The sequence below is a fragment of the Homo sapiens genome, chromosome 9 (assembly GCF_000001405.40).
Source record: "Homo sapiens chromosome 9, GRCh38.p14 Primary Assembly".
Classification (NCBI taxonomy): domain Eukaryota; kingdom Metazoa; phylum Chordata; class Mammalia; order Primates; family Hominidae; genus Homo; species Homo sapiens.
The window spans coordinates 109076169-109097215 of NC_000009.12; the positions used below are offsets into that span (position 1 = coordinate 109076169).

The window sequence follows — 21047 nt, forward strand, 5'->3', positions numbered from 1 at the left end:
TGGCACATATACACCATGGAATACTATGCAGCCATAAAAAAATGATGAGTTCATGTCCTTTGTAGGGACATGGATGAAGCTGGAAACCATTCTCAGCAAACTATCGCAAAGACAAAAAACCAAACACCACATGTTCTCACTCATAGATGGGAACTGAACAATGAGAATACATGGACACAGGAAGGGGAACATCACACACCGGGACCCACTGTGGGGTGGGGGGGAGGGGGGAGGGATAGCATTAGGAGATACACCTAATGTAAATGACGAGTTATTGGGTGCAGCACACCAACATGGCACACGTATACATATGTAACAAACCTGCACGTTGTGCACATGTACCCTAAAACTTAAAGTATAATAAAAAAAAAGTTAAAGTTCTTATTTTAAAATTATTAAAGGCTTTAACTAATGTTATATACACCCCTTCCCCGCCAAAAAAAAAGTATGTTGCTTAATTTCTAAATATTTGGACATTCCCTAAATTTCTGTTACTGATTTTTAATTTAATTCTGTGTCAGGAAATGCTTTTTTTGTTTGAGACAGTGATCTCGCTCTGTCACCCAGCCTGGACTGCAGTGGTGCAATCACGGCTCACTACAGTCTCCACCTCCAAGGCTCAAGCAGTCTTCCCACCTCAGCCTCCTAAGTAGCTGGGACTACAGAAATGCATCACAATGCCCAGCTAAATTTTTAAATTGTTTTTGTAAAGCCAGGGTCTCCTTATGTTGCCCAGGCTGGTCTCAAACTCCTGGGCTCAAGCAATCCTCCTGCCTCAGCCTGCCAGGTAGCTGAGATAACAGGTGTGTACCACTGTGCCTTGCCTAACACTTCCAAATTTATTGAACATATTGTTTATTCTGGTGAGTATTCCATGTTTTCTTGAAAAGAATATAATTTTTGTTATAATATTATATATATAATATAAAAGAATATAATTGTTAATTAGGTCAAGTTGACTGACCGCGTTTTTTGGCGTGTTTCGTTTTTGTTTTCTTTTGAGACAAAGTCTTGCTCTGTCACCCAGGCTGACATGCAGTGGCACGATCACAGCTCACTGCAGCCTCAATCTCCCGGGATCAAGCAATCCTCCCACCTCAGCCTCTCAAGTAGCTGGGACTACAGGCTTAAGTCACCATGCCCAACTAATTTTTTCTATTCTTTGTAGAGATGGGGTTTTGTCATGTTGCCTAGGTTGGTCTTAAAACTCCTGGAGTCAAGGGATCCACCTGCCTCATCTTCCCGAAGTCCTGGGATTACAGGCATAAGCCACCACACCCAGCTTTTAAAAGGCTTCTAAATATCCTTATTATTTTCTAACTACTTATTCCCTCAATTACTGCAAGGAGTACTGAATCCTGAACTATAATCATAGATTTGTTTATTTCTCCTTTTAATTCTGAATGTTGGATTTCATGTATTTTAGAGCTCAGCTGTTGGGAGCATATACATTTGTAACTGTTATCTTATGTCAATATTAACTCTTATCCATATGAAAAGTCCTTAATTTGCCTCTAGCAATATTTCTTTTTGACAATCTATTTTGTCTAATATAGAATCAACTGCACATATTTTCTGTGGACAGTTTGCACAGTGTATGTTTTTTAATATTTTTACTATCAACCTTCCTGTGACTGAATTTAAAGTGTGTCTCTAACATACCAAAAGCAAGTTGGAACTTGCTTTTTATATTCAGTCTGACAATGTATGCTTTTTGACTGTTTAGTTGCTTCTCGTGTAACCTAAGTATTGTCATGACCAGGGTTAGGTCTGCCATTTTGCTACTAGCTTTCTATTTGTCCCATCTCTATTGGTCCTCTGTTGTTCCTGCACTGCCTTTTGTGTTCAGCAAATTTTAGTATACCATTTTAGTTCCCCTAATCCTTAGGCTATTTATTGCCTGCTGTTTAACTTATCTAAATCTTATCTCATCTTTTAATTTATCATAATCTACTTCAAGTTAATATTGACTTATATCCAGGAAAATATTTTAAGAACTTCATACCATTACAGTTCTACTTGCCAGCCCTCTTCTTTGTGCTATGGTTTTACATATACATAGCTCATCTATATATGTTATAAAGGCCACAACAGTATTTCTATTTTTCTTTAGTCATATTTGTTTAAATAAATTAAAAGAAGACAGGGGAAAATATAACCCACATATTTTCCAAGTGCTTTCATCCCTTTCTTTGGATCCAGATTATTTCTGGAGTCATTTATCTTCACCCCGAAGGAGCTCTGTTAGCATTCCATATAAGTGCAGGTCTGCTATCAACAAATTCAGTATCTGTTTATCTAGAAATGTTTTCATTTTGCCTTTACTTTGAAAGAACAGTTTCACTGACTATAAAAGTATTGTTTGAGATTTCTCCCTATGACTTTAAATATGTCACTCCAATGTCTTTTAGTCTTTGCTGTTTATTAAGAGAATTAAGTCACTAACTGTATTGTTCCCCTGTTTGTGATGTGTAATTTTTCTCTTGCTTCCTTCCAGATTTTCTTTTTATCTTTGTCTTTCGGCAGTTTGACTATGATGTAGCTAGGCATGGTTTTGTGTTTGTGTATGCTTATTCTACTGAAGGTTTGTTGAACCTCTTGGATCTGTTAATGTTTTTCACCAAACATGGGAAAGTTTTTAGCAGTTATTTCTTCAAATAATTTTTTCTACCTTTTTCTCTTCCTCTTCTCATCTTCTGGGATGCTTATTACATGTCTGCTAGATGTTTGATATTGTCCCACAGGTGTCTGAGGCTCTGCTCATCTCCAATTGGACTTGACACCAAAAGCACAGGCAACAAAGGCAAAAATAGACAAATGAAGCTACATTAAACCTAAACACATCTGTGCACTGAAGAATACTTCCTTCAAGAAAAGCTGCAGGTTTTACTGCCCATGCAAGAATGTCACCTGTTTTTACCTGTAAAGAAAAAGTACCTGTTTTTACCAGCTACAGTAGCAGCTTTTCATCAACGAAAGATCTCCTAGTTGCCTACCTGGTCATTTTCTAATGCTTTTAAATGGTGTTTTTAATAATTTCATGTTGTTTTATTCTTGATTTCTGTGGAAAGGAATTACCTGACTTCCTCACCCTGCTATTATCCCAGGACATATTAGGAAGGTGGAGCCAAAAAGGATTTTCTGGCAAACTGGATGTGGATACAAAACAAAAACAGTAGTCAAAGATGATCCTGAGACTTTCCATTTGAGCAAGCAGAAGAATGGAGTTGTCACTGAAGACTATGAGAAGAACAGACAACTGGAGGAAGGTCTGGAATTCAGTCTCTGACGTTACATTTGAGATGTCCATTAAACATTCAAGTAGATACTGTCATGGATGTTTCAGAGAATGACAGCTGTACTGGCCAGGAGAATGAATTAGATAACCAATAAGGTTCCCTCAAAAGCTCAGTTTGGATGAATTCTACACCCAGAAATAAATGGTTCAGTAATACTTGTTATCAAAGTTCAGAGAAGCAAAAGCTCACTGAAGCAGGGGATGAACAAAGAAAAAGGACTTAAAAGATAAAACTGAGATGGCCAGGCAAAAGATGCTACGCAAAGGGACCAAGAAGGAAAAGTAGAATAGAAGTGTAGAAGAGAGGAGAAAGGAAAAAAAAAGACCATACTAATGAAAGAACTGGAATGTAAGATTGCACAGTAGCAGGTTTAAGCAAAATATGACAAAAAGCCTCTAAATAAGTCTGCACAGTATATATACGTGACTATACATAATTAATATCCAAAGAACAGATAGGAACTATACAAAGACTGAAACAGAAGTACTAGAAGAGATTTTTAGAAGCAAATAAGATAGCTTGAGGGTGTACTGAAGCTGAGACTAAGAATAGGACTTCCAAGCAGAGATGCCACTGAAGAAATAGTGCAGTTCTTTAGCAAATTGGTTAATTAGATTATCAATTATAGTTACCAACATGTCTCTATGGGAACTAAAGGAATAAAAAAAATTTTGTATCCATGATTTCACATAAGCTTCACCAACTCCTTGAAAAGAACATACCAAAATCTGGGTTGTGGAGTTCAATACGGTTCAGATAAAATAAAGATTAAAATGTACCATAAAAGTGGGGGGGAAATCTTGTCAGACTTGATAAGCCTAAAAAAAATAGTAAGAGATATCACTATAAAGATAACATTTTAGGTGTTCTTTAGAGAATAATTTTCTTTGATGAGATGAAAATGGGGAAAGGAAATGTAAGCTGGAAGGACCTGGAAAGCGAGAAATAAAGGTGCTATGGTATATATCAGCAGAAGGATCAATGAGACAAGGATGGAAGGTGGTAATCAGCAAATTCTGATCTAGTGAAGAATACTAACTAGATTAGAATTCATAAGACCAGATCCTAATTCTCCTATTAAACTAAAAAAAACAAGCGCCACTTGTTCTTCATTATCTCATTTTTTTCATTTGTATTTACTCCCAAGGGTTTCGATAAAATAAAAATGCATGTAAAAGAGGTCTGAAAAGAAAATATACTAGGCAAATTCATGGCAAAATTAGTAATATACAAATCATAAATCCTTTAGCTATTGTACATACTTTTAAATCAAGTTAACATTTTCCATGCCCCTTCTGCTAGCTTTTAATCCAGACTACAATTCTAACAATTAAGGGTTTATTAATGAGAATAATAATCACTGTACTCTACCTTTGCAGTCAGGAGTAGGGCTAAAAGAAGAGTTCCTATCACTAACAAAAATATGATGAAAATGCTAATTATTTTATCTAACATCTTCTCCAACCAGATGATCATCTGCACAAAAACGAAAAAGAGAATTACTTATCTTTAAAGTAGAACTTTAAAAATACATATACTCAATTGTCATAAAGACAAAACAGGATCTCCAGCATGGCAAAGCAAATTATGGCATAATAATTAAAGCAATAAAAGCTTTAAGCAACTTTAAAAACTTCACAGTACTCATTACTGCTGTTGTTATATAGTTTATTACTGTCATAGCTAAGAAAAAGGCAGTCGATTTCAACATAATCCATATCTATGTTCAAATTCTCAAACTATAGGATATCTATGTTTCAAATTGTAATTTATAACCTGGTAAGTATTCTAAACAAAATATTGACAATCCATTAGCTGACCTAAAATCTTATGAAGCTGTATCATCAGTTTAACAAATACACACGACTTTAGCAAAAGTATATACAGATAGTATTTATAATACTTATAATACAGGCATGGACTAAAAAATACAGATAAAATTGGAGCAAATTAAAAGAGGAGTTGCATTCAAAATATTTTTTCCATTTGATATCATTAGAATTACAAAAGCAGTAATAAAAAAATCTAATGTTAAGGCAATGACAAATAACAAAGATAACAGTTGCCCAAGGAGCGAGGGGTTGGGAGGTGAATGCACAATCAAGGAGGGGCACAAAACAGCCTTCAGGTTAATTTGTTTTATTAAGGGGGGAGTCATTGGTAGATAGTCTTTACATCTTTTTATGTTTGAAATATTTCATAATACATAATAAAATGCTTTTTAAAATCTGATATTCTACTTGAAGTTTCTATTCTTCTGAAAACATAAGCTTTATGACATGACTATAATTGATATAATCAATGTAGTAGCTGTTTCTTAATCAGTTATTAAAACTGTGCTTTCCCTAAATGCTATCTGACATTATCTTGCTATAACTTCCTTCATCTTTCACAACCACAAATAATCCTACATTTTAAACAACTTGTGTTTTCAGAATATATACTTGATAGATTGCTAGAATTCCTTTCATGCAAAGCTACCATCTAACATTTCAAAACTACATTTAACTAGATTAATAACTGCTGAAACACCACAATGCACTGCTCAACCCCAAGGTGAGCAACAGCATTGCTAAATAAGTTATTCTTAATTTAGATCTGATTTATGCTCTCCAGTGAATTAAACATCCAAAAGCAAAGAATGTTGGTTAAAAAAACAACATGAGTTCTGCAGCATTTACTTTCACTTGACGTTTATAAGCTTGTGCCCCCCTTATCTGTTTTTCATCAAGGGCACTGTCACTAAGAGATCAATGCTAAAGTGAACTCAAAGATAAAAAGTTAATCTTTAATCTTGACAATTACAGCTTCAAACAGAAGAGTTAATTTTCAGTGCATGCTACCAAGGCATCAAAGACAATGCAGAGACTTAAAAAAAAGGAATAACAGGTTTCTAAGATATGGAAGGTCAGATGTCATATTCTGAAGTTAAATTCTAAAATCAATGAAACTGAAAACTTTCAATCAGAAACCAATTGAAAACTAGTTATCAAGGCAGCTTCCTGGGGAAAGAGCTAGGTTTGTATCACTCCTCTTTGTATCTCCAAAATCTAAGTGCTTAGCACGTGGTAAGCATTCAATTACTATGTGTTTGAATAAGCAAGCATAAATAAAATAATTTCAGAATTAAGACTGTATTTGTATCCACAAATTACAATTTCTGAAAATAATGTAGAGCCTCTATTTTTTTTTTTTCAGAAAAGTCATATCCTGAAATGTATTTTTAAATGTAAATGATATTCTACTTAGAAACATGTTTGAGTATTTTTAACATATAAAACATAGAATATTCAAAAACATATTAGGTACATTAACATTACAATATCCAATTTTTTAGTTTTAAGTTAGGGTAAAATTTTTCTATCACAAGCCATAAAGGTTGAAAAAAATTCAGTCACCTAAATAAAAACGTATATCCAAGGGATGACAGTGAGGGTTGGATGTTTCATTGAAATTTAAAATAAACAAAATTATTTAAGATGCTCAAAAAAGAAGCTAAGAAGTTGTTGTTTTCGTCACATGTGGCCAGTTAAGTTAGCTGAGAACAGGACAAGAAGGGAGACAGTAAGAGAGAGGAAAGAGTGGGAAAGAGAAACAGAGACTAAGATTTATTCAAGAATAAAAGGAAACAGAGAAGGTCAAGCAAAAAAAAAATGGGGGCACGGGGAGTTGATACATAAAACTAAGGACGAAAAGAGGAAAAAAAGTGAAGAGGATAAAAAACTTAGATGGAGGAAAAGATGAACCAACTCCCACAAAGACTGAATAGAAAAAGACTCACAAAGAAACAGCAACTCGGAGAGATAGGAAGAGAAACATAAAGAGAGGAAGCAATGGAGAAGGGGACCAAAGGCCAGACGTGCTATCTCACGAGGCTGATCCTGTCCCACGTTCTGCTTTGGGCAAAGGAACCCAATCCACCTGCCCTCGCATGGAAATTACCAAGTCTCTAAATGTCCCCAATCTTTCCATGCTGAAAGACTGAGAAGTTACTTTAATTTTTAAAGTTTATTTTTCAAAAAAAGAGAAGTAATTTTAAAATGACATTCCGAATGTTTCAAATGTGAATGAAGGGCATGCATTTTTTAAATTTAGAGATGTCAGTAAATTTATAGTTACACCAAAAGATACTCTAAAACTTCTACACTAACTGGCCTATTTATCAAGCTATTAAGAAAGTATTCCACTACTGAGTTTTTCTTCTCTTTCATTATTCTGGGCCTATATATTTTTCATTTTGCTTTGTTTTTAAACAAAATTCCACTTGAGTTTTAGTGCAAATAATCAATACTAAGAAATAAAACAAAGCCAGGTGCAGTGGCTCACACCTATAATCCTAACACTTTAGGAGGCTGAGGCAGGCTGATCACTTGAGCTAAGGAGTTCAAGACCAGCCTGGGCAACATAGCAAAACCCCATCTCTACTAAAAATACAAAAAAAAAAAAAAAAAAAAAAAAAAAACACCAGGCATGGTGGTGCACACCTGTGGTCCCAGCTACTTAGGCGGCTGAGGTGGGAGGATTGCTTGAGCCTGGGAGGTGGAGGTTGTGTAGTGAGTCAAGATCACGTCGCTGCACTCCAGCCTGGGTGACAGAGTGAGATCCTGTCTCAAATTTAAAAAAAAAAAAAGGAAAAGAAATAAAACAAGTAACTCTTGAGAAATGGGTTACATTTCAATTAACCCATGTGTGCTCTCTCACCCTCTCTTCTCTTGAATTGGTTTCCTAATTCACTCCACTTGAAATTTCTACATACCAACATTACCCAGTGCTGCAATTTTCTGACTTTGAGATGTAATGTAATAAAATAGTTCTCAACTTATGTATGTCCTTTCTTGGAATGTACCCGCTCAAAATCTCAAGCAGTTACTCTATCTTTACACCAATGCTTTACTATGTTATATGGAATCATCAAAGGAAAGAAAAAAAGGACTTGATCTTAGAGATCTTTTAAAATTAACTCGATGATTCAGTTATGAAGTAGTCTCATAAATTAGGTAATCTAGCTCATTTAGTCCACTGAAGGTTAAATCAAATTTAATCCAATGAATTTAATTCTCCTTTCCCCCATCTCTTGAGGGCAATTTCATTTCAATATAACACAAATTGAAGAAAAGTACAAAATCATCGCTTGAGCCCAAGTTCACAGTTGCAGTGAGCTTTCATTGTGCCACTGCTCCAGCCTGAGCAACGGAGCAAGACCCTGTCTCTAAAAAACAATTAGAACAAATAAAAATTTTTTAGAAACCACATTCTTTGGTCAAAATTTTAAAACGTGACTTATATTTGCACATCATTTGCCAAGGATTGAACTCACTTACCCATACTAGTTTTATAGGGAATGGAGACATACACAACCATGTGAGAGTGTGGGAGTGTTTATTTTACACAATGCTTCCTTTCAACTCAACTTTAAAACTTTAGGCATTGTCAAGTCTCCCCTCTCCTCTATTTCAACAGAAAAAAATGAAATCCTAACCCATCCAAAAGTCTCATTTTGATCTATTTTCAAGAAGTACTACATCTTTCTTAAGGCCTGATATAATATTTCCACAAAAGACATATATATAGTTTTATTATGTTTAAACACAACATATATAAATGATGTCATCTCTTGCTATCTGTCCTAGAGATTCATTGAAATTATTATTTTTTTAAGAAACAGAGTCTTGCTGTCACCCAGGCTGGAGTGCAATGGTGCAATTATTGCTCACTACAACCTTGAATTCCTGGGCTCAAACAATCCTTCTGCCCTAGCATCCTGGGTAGTTAGGACTACAAGTGTGTGCCACAAGGCCTGGCTATTTAATTCATTAAAATTAATTTAAACATTACGATATGTGGACTATATGTCGAGGTACAACATTCCTAATGTATCTGGATTAGCCTTTATTGAAGTTATTAAAAGTGTGCCTATTATAATGCCATACCAATCATGTGAAGCATTTACCATAGACACAACCTCATACCTTGGAGAAAACACAAAATTCGATGTCACAGGTCATGACTACTATCTGTTTTAAGTTAAAAATAAATTTTGAAATACTAGTTATTTAAAAAAAGACAATATATAAAATTATCTGCCAAGGAAACCATACAAATATTTCACAGATTTGTCTTTTTAAAAAATTCCTGTGTCTTTTATAGAAAAAGTATCAAACAGAGAGTTCTCTCTTGCCCTTACAATAACTATTGCCTAATGTGTTTTCACACATCAAAGGAGACTAGAATATCAGGCTGAGCCACATTTACAGAACTGGATTTACAGGGGACAAAAGGACTATGAGACAGAACTTCTTACAAACACCTGAGCAAGGAGATACCATCCATATCCTAGACAGCCTTTGCTGAGTTTTTACCAAATTATACTGTGATAGTATTCATGCTTCACAACCTTCCATAGCTTATAATTAAAACTTTGAAAACAAAAACTTAGTTTGACACATGGACAGAAACATAGAGTGAAAAAGGCGATACAGGGGCATTACGGAATTCAATAGTAAAAACCAACATCTGGGTGTTCATTTACCTTCTTATTTAGCCAGTGCCAGAGCTTGAGGATAGGGGGTAAGGTGAGAAAGAGAAGATAAGAACAGTGGAGTATCATTAGAGAATGCAACCATAGTATGAAAAGAAAAGGAAAGCATGAGAAGGAAACCATCCCAGACAAAGGAAAAACTAGGGACGGAAAAACTGTAACACATCAAAGTTTTAAAATCAACGGAATGTAGTATTCCTTTAAGATATATAATGATTGAAATGATGATAACCACATCTTTGTTGGGAATCCAACAATTAAAAATACATAAAATAACCTGCATGCTCGTAGGCTTAGTGTCTCCATGCCTTTGCACTGCTCCGTCTGCTTGCCCTTCTGGCCATGTCTACCTAAGAAACTCCCGCCTGTGCTTCAAAACTTGCTCCAGTATCACTTCCTCTGCTAACCTTCCCTTTCTCATGACCCTATGAACAGTGAGTCATTTCTTGCTCAGTGCTGCCACTGTATCCCATACACACTTTTCCTACACAAATTCCTAATACTTACATAGAGCTCACTGTGTACCAGGCAATAATCTAGGGATTTTACATATATTACCTCATTTAACCCTTACCACCATTCTACAAGGTAGGTGCTATTGTACCTATTTTACTGGTATGGAAACCAAGGCACAGAAAGGTTAGGAAACTTCATGGATTCATAGTCCATGCTCTTTAACCACTAAGGCTCTAAATCTAACCGCCATCTCTGAATTTTTATCAACTGCTGTCTTTCCCCAATAAACAAGGCTTCTGTATCTGGTTTTCCATGATTCATCTGATTTTCCGTAGGACTTAATACAGTATCTGACATATGGTAATTACTCCAAAAATATTCACTAAACTGAGCCACTACCTAGCTACATAATTTTAGGCAAGTCGCTTAACCTCTCTGGATTTCAATTTGGTCCTAATATAATGAAGGAATTAAATCAGAAAATCCATTTCTCCCATTTTTATGAGGAAAAAATACTTACACAAGCCTTATTTAAAGTAAACCCATCTTATCCTTGTGTAAACCATAATTTTAAACATTAAACTTTCATCATAGAATTAGATATTACATGTGTTATCAACAGTTACAATATAAACACCATAGAATGGAAAAGTTCAAACCACGAAATATATTAACTCCATTAAGACAGCCCAAGTCCTTAAAATACAATACCTTGCTATCAACTTTTAACAAGAATTTTCCAAGCCCGACAATGGGCCAAGGCGCGAGAGCTCCCTGCCGCTCCTTCAGGAAGCTTTCTATAATGCCCCACCACACATGGTAGCGTTTCTCTAGGAAATCCACAACTCCAAAGTGAATGACAAGCTTTTTGAGTATCCAGACTAAAAAAAGACAAAAAATACATATATAAACAAAATATAGATTAACAAGTTGTAACATGAAAAGGTACCTTAATTTCACAAAACCTTTCTAAAACAACAAAGCTAGTATTAAAAAGAAGATCAATGTTAAAAAGCAGGGTGGGACTCAAAGTACTCCCCACACAGATGGAATTGGACCAAGTAACTTTTCAAACCATCCCCACCTGCCTATATATTATCTTCTTCCTGAAGTCTGAATCCTTGTAGAGTCAGGGATTATTTTACAGCCCACATAAACAAAAGATAATCTCATCGTGAAGATTTCAGTGACTACAATTCTGGCCCCTTGCATATTCCCCCTTCCTGGGTAAATAATACAAACCCCTGACATTTCCTCATCTCCTTGGCTTTTATAGCTGTTCTTGTCAAATATTCTTCTTTTCCTTAGTTGCTCGTTATTTAGTGACCAGAAAAGTATAAGGTATTCCATACGCATCATGATTTTGTACCACTGCAGAGTAATGTTGTTCCTATTTCCCCATTTGATGCTGCTCTCAACATCTGAACAGATGCCAGGGTTCAGTAGAGAAGCAAGCTGAATACTAGCAGGGCTGCTACAAATGGCCCAAGGCTGTGCACGGCAACTTCAGTGGGGACCACTCTCAAACCACACTGTCTCCTCCTGGAGTTGGGCAGTGAAGTGGCTCTTTAAGCAGAGGTTAAGCTTCCTGTTAGAAGCCAATTAAGAAGGTGGTAGGGCCAGAAAGAAGTGTTACTCAACTGTGAGGCTTGCCTTCAAGTTTGGACCCTGTATCTCAATCAGTACATAATTTCCCTAACTCTAGAGATTTGTGTTCTTAGCTCTGGCCTTGCAACCTAAAGGTTCACAATTTGCTGTTTTGAACCATGAGCTCAGTGTTACACACAAGTTCAACAATTCCTTTATTACCATTTTTAAATCCCTACAAAAGCCCTAAAAGAACTCCTATAGTTTCAGTAAGTCCAGGGTAATTACAAGCTGTAGAAAAGCTTTTAGGGGCCACCTTATTCACAGCCTGCTGTCCCAAGATCATGTCAAATTCCTATGATGACTAGAAGGTTAAGCTATAACTAAGAGAAATGAAATTCCTGCTAACAAACTTTAAGGAAAAGAGAGTTGCAACAGCATTTGACACACAGTTTGCCAGCATAATAAAATCATCTGGAAAAAAAAAAGTATGGAACAGGGCCGGGCACAGTGGCTCAACGCCTGTAATCCCAGGCCGAGGCGGGCGGATCACGAGATCAGGAGATCGAGACCATCCTGGCTAACAGTGAAACCCCGTCTCTACTAAAAATACAAAAAATTAGCCAGGCGTTGTGGCAGGCACCTGTAGTCCCAGCTACTCAGGAGGCTGAGGCAGGAGAAAGTGTGAACCCAGGAAGTGAAGCTTGCAATGAGCCGAGATCCCGCCACTGCACTCCAGCCTGGGCAACAGAGCGAGACTACATCTCAAAAAAAAAAAAAAAAAAAAAAGTATGGAACAATCTAGAAGAGCAATTTAAACTGTTCCACTCAGTTTAACAGGAAGCATGGCATGGTATCTGCTCTGTGACTTGCTTAATTAAAGCTGTATCTTGTTCCAACTGCCTAACAGAAGTTCTGTTTGAGGACAGAAGAACCACATATAGGCCGGGGACGGTGACTCACACCTGTATAGTCCCAGCACTTTGGGAAGCCAAGGTGTGAGGTTTGCTTGAGTCCAGGAGTTTGAGACCAGCCTGGGCAACATGGCAAACTACAAAAAATACAAAACAATAGCCAGTGGACGCACCTGTAGTCTCAGCTATCTGAGGGGCTGAGGCAGGAGGATCACTTGAGCCTGAGAGATCGAGGCTGTGGTGAATGGGTGACAAAGTGAGACCTTGTCTCAAAAAAAAAAAAAATACAGATACAAACTTCAACCATTTATATTGCATGCTCCCTGAGGACAGGCACTACTATACCATGCTCTGGTCATAATAAATGTTAAAAAATAATGCCTATTTAATTAACTATCCAATTGAGTGAGGAAAAATAAAAAGAAGTGATGAAAACTAATGGTCTAGAAGGTAAATGGGCTAATAAGTTTAGACTTTTAGACTACAGTGGAGAGCAGCTTCCAAAAATCAGATTACGTTTTAATCAATAGTGAAAAACCTTGACATAGGAAATGAGGAGTAATCAAATGTAGAAGGTACTCAGAAGGCAAAATCCACAGCAGCCACTAAGGACTTAATAAATTTGGCACAAAATATGGCTGCCATAAGAAGAGAGCCCAAATAATCAGGAAAATATTAGGTAAAAGATGTTTCTACAATGCACCTGTCAGAGAAAACTCTCCCTTGCTCTTTCTAGTCTTAGGAGAAAGACAGTTTTAGAGAGAATCAAAACAATAGAGGTGGGCCTTAAATTACCACAGCATTAAGATACAAAGACCTGATTTAATGGATTATGGAAAACTATGATTCCATTTTGATGTAATACATATAATATAGATATACATGTAATTTAATTTTTCTGCCAAATCACAAGACTTTGCATACATGTATTTCTCAAAGCCTACATTTCCTTTGAATTAAAAAGGCAAGGTAAAACGTGCTTCCCTAAGAGTAGCGCTCAAAAATCATTCAATCTCAGCTAGGCGCAGTGGCTCACTCCTGTAATGCCAGCACTTTGGGAGGCGGAGGTGAGCGGATGACTTAAGGTAAGGATTCGAGACCAGCCTGGCCAACATGGTGAAACTCCGTCTCTACTAAAAATACAAAAAATTAGCCAGGGGTGGTGGCGCATGCCTGTAGTCCCAGCAACTCAGGAGGCTGAGGTGGGAGAATTGCTTGAACCCAGGGGGCAAAGGCTGCAGTGAGCTGAGATCGCGCCACTGCAATCCAGCCTGGGTGACAGAGCGAGACTCCGTCTCAAAAAAAAAACAAAAAATCATTCGATCTTCAAATTCCAAAACACAGATATTGTTAACATTCTCCTTCACAGAATCATGGATGGCTAAACAATCAAATCTCTCTATGGAGCTATTAATCTCAAATACTACATGAAATTGTAAGAAGCTAAACACATTTTTTGAGCTTAAAAGTGAAATACTGGCCGGGCGCGGTGGCTCACACCTATAATCCCAGCACTTTGGGAGGCCGAGATGGGCAGATCACGAGGTCAGGAGATCGAGACTATCCTGGCTAACATGGTGAAACGCTGTCTCTACTAAAAATAAAAAAAAAATTAGCCGGGTGTGGTGGTGGGCACCTATAGTCCCAGCTACTCGGGAGGCTGAGGCAGGAGAATGGCATGAACCTGGGAGGTGGAGCTTGCAGTGAGCTGAGATGGTGCCACTGCACTTCCAGCCTGGGCAAGACTCCGTCTCAAAAAAAAAAAAAAAGTGAAATATTAAAGATGTATCAAAGTAATAAATTAACCAAATGGTGTTTGTTTACTATTTAAATGCAAACATAAGATTGTTTTACTTTGCAAGACGGTAAATGTATCTCAAATATTAAAATCCAAAAGTAAAAAAAGAAAAAAATCAATCTTCAAAGACAAGACGAGATCGTACTTAACCAGATAACGACCTGCAATCGGCACTGGCAGCAACTGCACAATCCACAGGTTCAACCAGATCTGCATGACGACAATGGCCCAAACTAGAGACACAAAGTAGATGTCACTAGTTTTCTTCTTTCTAAGAAACGTTCCTATTTCAGGCCTTCGTCTGCCCAGAGTAGGTGAAGGGGAAGTGGGTGAAGGGGAGGAGGGTGAAGGGGAGGTGGACAACGTTGGAGCGGATTCTCCCCTGTCCACTGCTTCTGAAAAGGAAAAGAAAAACACCACACACCGCATTAGTCCACATGAGGAAATGGGAATACAGAGCCACTCATTAGGCTAGCCTGTTTCAGGCCTTCAAAATGTGCTGATATGGTATGATTACATCGGGTTAAAAAAGACAAAAATATTTGGACCTATGTTTGCATATGCACTGAAAAACATGGAGAATTACAATGCCAATAGAGCTTTAATTTAGGAAGACTAAGTTAGTTGGTGATAGAATTGGGAGTCATTAAAACAAAATACATGACAAAGTAGCTGAGAATTATAATTATCCCATAAAACTTATTCAAACTATTTAAAGAAACAAATGCTAACATATACTAGAATTTCTATATTTAAAAATCCCTTTTCTTTCAATAGAACTTTAGATTAGGTGTATTTATATACATTTCTGACACAAGAAGACTTTTCAGTGTTATTTCACCTAAAATGGAACCAACCAATCTTACAAGAACCCAGGGCTTTCAAACAGAATATATAAACATGAATGAGATACAAAAACAATGACAGATTTCTTGGGTGAGGATTTTCAAATAAAGGAAACCATACTGGATTATTTCACATAAGACACTGTTTTCTAACAATGCAACCACCATGTTACATTTTACTATAGGGTGCTATTATTTCTATTTCCTAGTTTTAATAAGATATACCATACACATCAGAAATCATAAAACTCTTAAAGTAGTATTACTCTATATATACTATAATAATGAAAATTATTAAGATCCTAAAACTTGCATTTTGCCTTCCATTAGAAAAAAATGTTAATTACAAAAGTATGTCACGTTGAATGTGTGGATTGTTAATTACAAAAGTATCATACGTCAGAAAAAAAGTCTAGAAAAAAGAGAAAAGAAATAAGAACTCCCATAATCCCAACCTCACATTTTCCCCCTGGTCTTTTACATAGTTGTAGCATGTTCTACTTATCCTTTCTCATTCTTTCTCTTCAGTTGAAAGTCAGCTCCACCAGAGCTAAGACCTTGTCTGTTTTGTTCTCCCTCCACTGAATTCCTGGCACATACAATAGTATCTCATATATAGGAGGTGCTCACTAAATAAGTGAATGAATGACTTCCCTGTTGTTTCATAATTTTCATAAGCAATCATACAGTAGCCCACCAAGTGCTGTATCATAATTTCCTTAAGTGTTTTTAATGTTAAAAGTTCAGCTATGAGTCAATTTTTACTACTGAGATCACTTGCACCCTGGTAAGTCAGCTCACCTCACTAGGACCAACATTCTACCCTTAAAAGTGCAGGGCTAAAGCCCAAGCTAGTTAACAGATGCTTTTGTTTGACTTTGCTCTGAGTTATCTTTCTAATTTGGAAACTTCATGATGGTGGGTGTGACAGATATTTGGAAGAATGAGTCCAAAACCAAAATATCATTTCCTCTCCACTTTGGAAACATAATTCCATGTGCAAGAAAAATAAGTGTTCCTACTACACCAAATTCCTTTATCTTAGCTGACATTTCTAAAGTCAGTTCTTCAAGGAGAATTCACTCTAAATATTCCCTAACTCCAAATACCTCTGGCACTAATGGATCTCTCAGCACAGACTAAGGTGGCCTTTTACATTCTGGAACTCTGCAAGAGTACAGCATGACTCTACAGCTGGTATATCTACCAGCTGGATTCCTCAGGAGCCTGCAATTCCCAAAGCCAGGCCACACAGGACAACGAGTCCAAAACAACCAGAGGGGTCTGTTTGAGGGGTCAATATATTAACACATGAAGCATGCAAACTTTCAGAGAAAGAATGACAGAGAAATGGATGACTGCAAGATGGAAAATAAAAGTCTTCCCCAAAAAAAGGGTTGGGAAAAGGGAACAAAAGAAAGAAAAAACAACAGGAAGAGATAGGGCAAAATAAAATCATGGAGGAGAACTGACAGTTGTAGAAGAAAGAAATGGAAAATAAGAAATCAAGATAAGATATGCGTAAAGTGGAGGGAAATGTGGGAAAGGTAAATGGAGACGGAGAAAAGGAAAATAAGAAAAACAAAAGCAATGAATAACAGAAGAAAAATAAGAAAAGCCTTTTTTAAAAAGGAAAGAACAAAGAACCAAGGTAAGAAACTCAAGAAGTTACATAATTACATGTATTTAAAAAGTGATATATGAGAACAAAGATGAGAGGGAAAAGGGCATAAAAATAGGAACCAAAGAGAATAAATGAAGGATCAGCAGGAGTAAGTAGCATTTTGTGATGCTGGTGTCCTGAATTTTACTTTCTATGTACATTTCATTTTCCAGAATAACCTTGAATGTCACCAGAACATCAGTCACCTGCAGGCTGAGTGGAGGGCTGGTCTTCACTGCTTGATTCATACCCTGTGATAGAGATGGCCAAGTTTGCCAGAGTAGAAGCTGCCATGGAGATAACCTGCCCTGGTAACTCTGCCCCTGTAAAAGAAGCATCCATTTTCAAAACTCTTTAAAGTAGGAAATAATGGCTGCAAATTTAAACACAGTCCAACATTTTCAACAACAACAAAATAAAATGGTTACTACTGACCCACTGAATAAGTGGTTCTTCACCAAGGAAGAACCATTAAGAATTGACATGAAAGTGTGCTAAAAAAGCAAATCCCTTGACTCTCTGTATACCTTCCTCCTTTGGGAACTTAATGCTGGTGGATGTGGCAGACACTACACATGTAAACTTGGAGTCCCACACTTACATTTGTTAACAAGTTGATTTTAATGCATACTTCTATTGAAAAACACTACCACATCAAGTCTGTGAGCTCCCTGATCTGACTGTCTTAGGCTATGTTGTATGACTAGGTCTCATGTTAGTACGAGATAATCCACAATTGGTGGTCATAACAACATTCCACAAATGAGTATGCGAATATATGGCTATTATGCAAAACCATATAGATTTATAAATTACATAACTCAGTACAGGCAAAATCCACCACTTGAAAATCTAAAGGAACATCATGACGTTGTTTCACATTATATATTTCCATGTTAAATTCCTAATAGGTAGTACCAAGCTCAATCATTTGCACTAAATTCAAGTAAAACATTCACTGGCAAAGGAAGTCTGTCAACCTTTAACCTTCTATAGCAGACAAGGAAGAATAGCTCACATAGCATCGGGTTCTAGCACACTTTCTTGCACACTAGACTGGAGAGCTAAAAAAATTGTATTTCTTGGATTCCCCTGCAGCCGAGGTCTCACATGTGACACAGTTTCTACCAAGCAGGTACACCTGTGCAGGACTTGAGAGCCTGAAGTGGCACACTGTAATTTGAAAGCCAGAGCTCTTGTATCAAACACAGTCAGTCAGGAAGGCATATGGTTTTTCCGCAGCAACTTAGCAGAAGTTCTGATGTCTGATCTCTAACTTCACGGCGAGCAGCAGCAGCCGTGGCCCTCTGCCCAAACAGTCCTTCAGTGTCACTGAGCATTTCTCCTGATTGCACTGCTTCCACCTGTGTCAGATTCCAAGATTAATTGTCTGGTCTTTCCAGAAATTCCATGTGCAAAAATTGTAAATGCTAACCAATACCTCCTACTATTTATTTAAACTACCTGGGGTAGATTCTATTGTTCACAACTAAGAACACTAGCAATTCCTAGTCACCAAATCATACACCCACACTCATACAACTGAGACATTACTTTTGGTAGGCCAAGACTCCGTATGGCAACATAGGATTCTGTCACCCCAATGAAAAGAGCCATGATCCTTCAGAAAGCCGATGAATTTCAGCTCCAAGTTAATTAACTCCACATACCCAAATATCCAAAGCTAGCCCTCTCCCAGATAGCAGCAAGCCAGAGCCTGAGGTGGATCTTTGGTAGATTCAGACATCAGGATAAGAGTACTCACCTTGCTCAGTCATACTCTGTCCCTCCTCTAATAAATGCCCCTGTGACCTGAAAGAGTTCATTTTTAGATAGGGTATCGTATCTCTCAATATGAGAGAAATTCAAACTCATGGTCTGAGAGGAAAGCCTAAGTTAGATTTCTGGATTAGGACCTTACTCTCCTGGCCTGTGTATCCAAGGTCCTCCTGAAATGCCAATAAGACAGAAAGGGCTGACAGAGAAAAACAGTGTCTTTCATTTCTTACATGTACTGTGTGCTGGGGATAAAGACACAGACCCTGCCCCCAGGGAGTATAGTAAAGGTATGAATTAAATAACCACACAAATAAACGTGTGTATAGAAATTATGGTTGCTATAAAAAGAAATGCTGGGTATCTTGTGACATCCTAACAATATCTTGGGCAGAAGGAAAGCTGTGAGAAGAACCCGGCATATTAAAGACAGTGAAAGAAGGTCAGTGTGTCTGGAACACAGACAGCTAGTAAGAAACTGGTATCAAATAAACAAGGCTGGAGAGGTAAGCCAGATGATGCAGATCACAGAACACCACATGAAGGACTTTAGTGTTTATTCTAAGAGGAAGAAGAACGCACTGAAGAGTTTCAAACAGGATAGTAGTCTTCTTCTCACTGAAATTTTATTGAGATAAAAGTATACTCATATGCAGTTGCAAGAAATAATCCCAGTGTACCACAATTTGTCCAGTTTCCCCTGACACAAGATACAGAACAGCATCATCACTATAAGGATCTCTCGTGTTGACCTTTTATAACCACACTCAACTGCCTCTCACCCCTCTCACCACCCTGTAAATAAATAATCCATTTGAGATATAAGACCATTCTTGCTTGTCTGGAGAAAAAGAGACTAGAGGGGACCTATAACGTATGGAGAAAAGTTGTTGCAGTACTATAGGCAAGACATGATGCCAGTGTGGTCTACAGCCACAACAGGGGAAACAGGGAAAAGCGGCTGTGTTAAAGAGACGTAGAAGAGTCAAAGCGGACCACACTTGATGAGGAAGCAATGAAGGGAATCAAAGAGACGAAGGTATCCCGGTTTCCAGACTATGGTTAGGTAGAGAATATATAGCAGAGCTGGATGAAGATTCTTGGCATATTAGAGTTATTTTTAGACTTTCAGATAGAAGTTCCACAAACAGGCTGGGTGCAGTGGCTCATGCCTGTAATCCCAGCACTCTGGGAGGCCAAGGCAGACGGATTACCTGAGGCCAGGAGTTCGAGACCAGCATCGCCAACATGCCGAAACCCCGTCTCTACTAAAAACACAAAAATTAGCTGGGCATGGTGGCACACGCCTGTAATCCCAGCTACTCAAGAGGCTGAGGCAGGAGAATCGCTTGAACCCAGGAGGCAGAGGTTGCAGTGAGCCGAGATCGTATTATTGAGCTGAGATCATGCCAATAAGCCAAGATCACACCACTGCACTCTGCCTGGGTGACAGAGTGAGACTTTGTCTCAAAAATAAAAAGTTCCACAAACAAACTGACCTACACCAGAGATGGGGCAAGACTTAGCTTTGCAGCAGTACACCCAGGAGGGATCTCTTAGGCCCCACTCAAGAGCAAAGTTTGGGAACACCTAATGGCCTGGGACAGTACAGTAGAAAAAGGAAAAACAAAAACAAAGACCTTCAGGTCAAAAATTTTAAAAATTAAGAATTCTCTCTTACATAAGATTACAGACTAGTCAAGGGTCTTTAATTACTGAACTGGCCTCTTCAAAAGTAATTTAATTAAATGGTTACTCATCTTGAGACACTGTAAGAAAAGTAAGTCCCTTGATGGTTTTTGCAAAATAACAAGATCATTGGATAGCTCTTCAAATAATGGACTTTCAGTTCAGCTGCATTTTATCTTACATTTCTAAATGCCTACTAAGCATTCATTCACCAAATAGGCGACTAGGCTATATGCTGATATAAGAGACTAAGCCCCTGGTCTCAAATTCAGTCTGATACTTAAGAGCTAATGTAAAGTAAGTGTAAACTGTTAGGGAGCAGCGTGGAAATCAAATCCATGCAGGGAGGTCTGGGAAGGGTTTCCAAAGGAGCTGTCTGACAAGAATATTGAAAGATGCCATCCTTTAAATCCATTTTAACAAAAGTAAGCTAGATAAAGAAGACAGAACAGTTCTATCTTGGAGAGGAAGCTCCTGAGAGA

The 21047-nt window shown here is 37.5% G+C and overlaps 1 protein-coding gene across 11 annotated transcripts in view; it reads right to left on the bottom strand.

The window, feature by feature from the left end:
* The window catches only part of TMEM245 (transmembrane protein 245), a 104813-nt gene that overhangs the window by 61034 nt on the left and 22732 nt on the right, over window positions 1-21047 (bottom strand). Inside the window, exons 4-8 of one of the 11 annotated variants that reach the window (NM_001438164.1) lie at window positions 17307-17423; window positions 14754-14984; window positions 11005-11174; window positions 9829-9852; window positions 4671-4775 (exon numbers count right to left, since the gene is read on the bottom strand). In NM_001438164.1, coding sequence (NP_001425093.1) covers window positions 4671-4775; window positions 9829-9852; window positions 11005-11174; window positions 14754-14984; window positions 17307-17423 — 647 coding nt within the window. Of the gene's footprint in view, window positions 1-4670; window positions 4776-9828; window positions 9853-11004; window positions 11175-14753; window positions 14988-17306; window positions 17424-21047 lie in introns of all 11 variants that reach the window. The other 10 variants (NM_032012.4, NM_001438166.1, NM_001438170.1 and 7 more) reach the window with 10 other exon arrangements.